Source organism: Homo sapiens, chromosome 10 (genome assembly GCF_000001405.40).
Source record: "Homo sapiens chromosome 10, GRCh38.p14 Primary Assembly".
Classification (NCBI taxonomy): domain Eukaryota; kingdom Metazoa; phylum Chordata; class Mammalia; order Primates; family Hominidae; genus Homo; species Homo sapiens.
The window spans coordinates 81,442,091-81,445,479 of NC_000010.11; the positions used below are offsets into that span (position 1 = coordinate 81,442,091).

Here is a 3,389-nt window from a genome sequence, read left to right on the forward strand (position 1 = left end):
TACAGTGATTTATGATGCCACTCTATTCATACACTAAATTTCAAATGCACACAGTTGTGTTTCTGGTTTTTTTTTCTGTTCTATTTCAATAATATATCTTTTATTCATGAACAAGTATTACACTTTTTTTTTTTTTTTTTTGAGACGGACTCTCGCTCTATTGCCCAGGCTGGAGGGTATTGGTACAATCTCGGCTCACTGCAATCTCAGACTCCCGGGTTCAAGTGATTCTCCTGCCTCAGCTTCCTGAGTAGCTGGGATTACAGGCACGTGCCACCACACCTGGCAAACTTTTGTATTTTTAGTAGAGATTGGGGTTTTACCATGTTGGTCAGGCTGGTCTCCATCTCCTGACCTCATGATTCACCTGTCTCGGCCTCCCAAAGTGCTGGGATTACAGGCGTCAGCCACCACACCCGGCTTCACAGGTTTTTAATTACAGAGGATTTAGAGTATATTTTAATATCTTGCAAAATTAGTCTGCCCCCATTTATTTTTAAGGGTTTTATTGGATATACTTAGATTTTTTTCTATGTGAATTATGGCATCAACTTGTCTAATTTCATAATAAATCATTTTGATATTTTGAATGATATTGTATAATATTTATTAATTAATTTAGGGAGCAGTTATATCTTAATAATATTGAATTATCCTATCCAAGAACAGGGGTTATCTTTCATTTGTTGAAGCCTAGCTGTATGTTTAAAAAAAATTTTCAAAATGTTATGATAAGTTTATAAAAAATTTTCTTGAGATAATTGCTAAGTATTTAATATTTTATGGTACGTTCCTTCCATACCCAGTTTTTTGAGGATTTTTCTTACAAAGTGATGTTGAATTTAATCAAATGCTTTTTCAGCATCAATTGAAGTGATCATATGGTTTTTTTCCTTCATTCTGTTAATATGATGTATCATAATGATTGATTTGCATATGTTGAAAATGGAACACATTTGTTGCTATTGTAAACAGTGTTCTCTAATTTATTATTTTTTGTTTCTATATATGTCATTTTAATTTTTTATTTCAATTTTTGTGGATACATAGCAGGCGTATCTGTTTATGGGATACATGAGTTGTTTAATACAGGCATGCAATGCATAATAATTATGTCATGTGAACATTGAACATGGGGTATCCACCACTCAAGAATTTATCCTTTGTGTTACAGATAATCCAGTTATACTCTTTTAGTTATTTTAAAATGTACAATTAAATTATTATTGAGTATAGTCACCCTGTTGTACTAACAAATATTAGGTCTTATTCATTCTTCTATTCTTTTTTTAAAGCATTAACCATTCCTACCACCACCACACCACTCCTCCAACCTCCAGCCCACACTACCCTTCCCAGCTTCTGGTAACTATACTTCTACTCCTATCTCCATGAGTTCAGTTATATTGACTTTTTAGATCCCACAAATAAGTGAGAGCGTGTGACGGTTGACTTTCTGTGCCTGGCTTATTTCACTTAGCATAGTGACCTTCAGTTCCATACATGTTGCAAATGACAGGATTTCATTTGTTTTTATGGCTGAATAGTACTCTATTGTGTATAAGCACCATATTTTCTTTATCCATTCTTCTGTTATGGTCACTTAGATTGTGTCCACATTTTGCTATTGCAAAAAGTGCTGCAACAAACAGCAGTGCAGCTGTCTCTTCGATATACAGATTTCCTTTATTTTGGGTATATACCCAGCAGTGGGATTGCTGAATCATTTAGCAGTCCTATTTTTAGTTTTTCAAGGAATCTCCAAACTGTTCTTCATGTTGGTAGTACTAATTTACACTCCTATCAACAGTGTAAGAGGGTTCCCTTTTTGCCACATCCTCGCCAGCATTTGTTATTGCTTATCTTTTGGATATAAGCCATTTTAACTGGGCGAGATAATATTGCATTGTAGTTTTGATTTGCATTCCTCTGATGATCAATGAGATCGAGCACCTTCTCATATGCCTGTTTGCCAATAGTATGTGTTCTTTTGAAAAATGTCTATTCAAATCATGTGTCCATTTTTAATCAGATTATTAGATTTTTTTCCATACAGTTGTTTAGCTTTGTATATATCGTGGTTATTAATTCCTTGTCAGATGGGTAGTTTTCAAATATTTTCTCCCATTTTGTGGGTTGTGTCTTTGTTGATTGTTTTCTTTGCTTGTGCAGAAGCTTTTTAACTTGATGCTGATAGACGCAGGAGGCAGATAAGGGAGGATCCCCAGAGAATCTCCGATCCACCCCACAAGTGTTTGTATCAGTTGATTTTGTGCAAATGAGGGAACCTGCCCAGGGTCTTGTCTGGACATGCCCACAATAGACTGGGGGCCTGCCTGTGCACTGGGAGAATGCCCTGGAGCTACCAGAAATACACGCCTTATGCAGGTAGGAAGGAGCCTGACCTCTTCAGCTGGTGTGTGTGGTGGCCTGGTACTCAGTCTGTGAGGTAGGAGCTTTTTGACCAATCCCCCCTTTTTTTTGCTGACAGTTTTCTTTTAATAAATTCTGCTCTCCTCACATTTCCATGTGTCCGCATGCCTAATTTTTTCTGGTCATGTGACAAGAACCTGGATTTTGGCTGAACTAAGGGACAAAAAATCCCGCATCAATGTGATCCTATTCATTTTTCCTTTTGTTGCCTTTGCTTGTCTTTCTGTGCCTGGGTTATTTCACTTAGCATAATGATCTTCAGTTCCACCCATGTCGCAAATGACAGGATTTCATTTGTTTTTATGGCTGAAAAATAAGGACTCCATTGTGTGTAAGTACCACATTTACTTATACACTCAAGACATTTTTGCCGTGACCAATGTCCTGGGAATTTTTCCCAATGTTTTGTTGTAGTAATTTCATAGTTTGAAGTCTTAGATTTAAGTCGTTAATCCATTTAGATTTTATTTTTTTACATGGCAAGAGATAGGGATCTAGTTTCATTCTTCTGCATATGGATATCCAGTTTTCTTAGTACCGTTTATTGAAAAGATTCTCTTTTCCTCAGTGTATGCTTTTGGTACCTTTGTTAAAAAATCAGTTCACTGTAGGTGTGTGGATTTGTTTCTAGGTTCTGTCTGCTGTTCCATTGGTCTATGTGTCTGTTTCTATGCCAATACTATGCTGTTTGGGTCACTATAGCTCTGTAGTATATATGAAGTCAGGTAGTGAGATTCCTCCAGTTTTACTCTTTTGGCTTAGGAGAGTTTTAGCTATTTTGGGTCTTTTGTGGTTCCATATAAATATTGGGATCATTTTTTTCTATTTCTGTGAAAATTATCATTGATATATTGATAGGGATTGCATTGAGTCTGTAGCTTGCTTTGGGTAGTATGGACATTTTAACAAGATTGATTCTTCCAAACCATAAACATGGAATAATATATTTCCATTTC

The 3,389-nt window shown here is 36.0% G+C and overlaps 1 annotated feature.

Annotated features, from left to right (window-relative positions):
- Positions 1,774-2,973: an enhancer, noted in NCBI's record as "MED14-independent group 3 enhancer chr10:83203620-83204819 (GRCh37/hg19 assembly coordinates)". NCBI's record gives its function as "activates an origin of replication core promoter dependent on BRD2, BRD4, P300/CBP and CDK7 cofactors, and independent of MED14, by STARR-seq in HCT116 cells {active_cell/tissue: HCT116}" and the evidence as "EXISTENCE:reporter gene assay evidence [ECO:0000049][PMID:35650434]".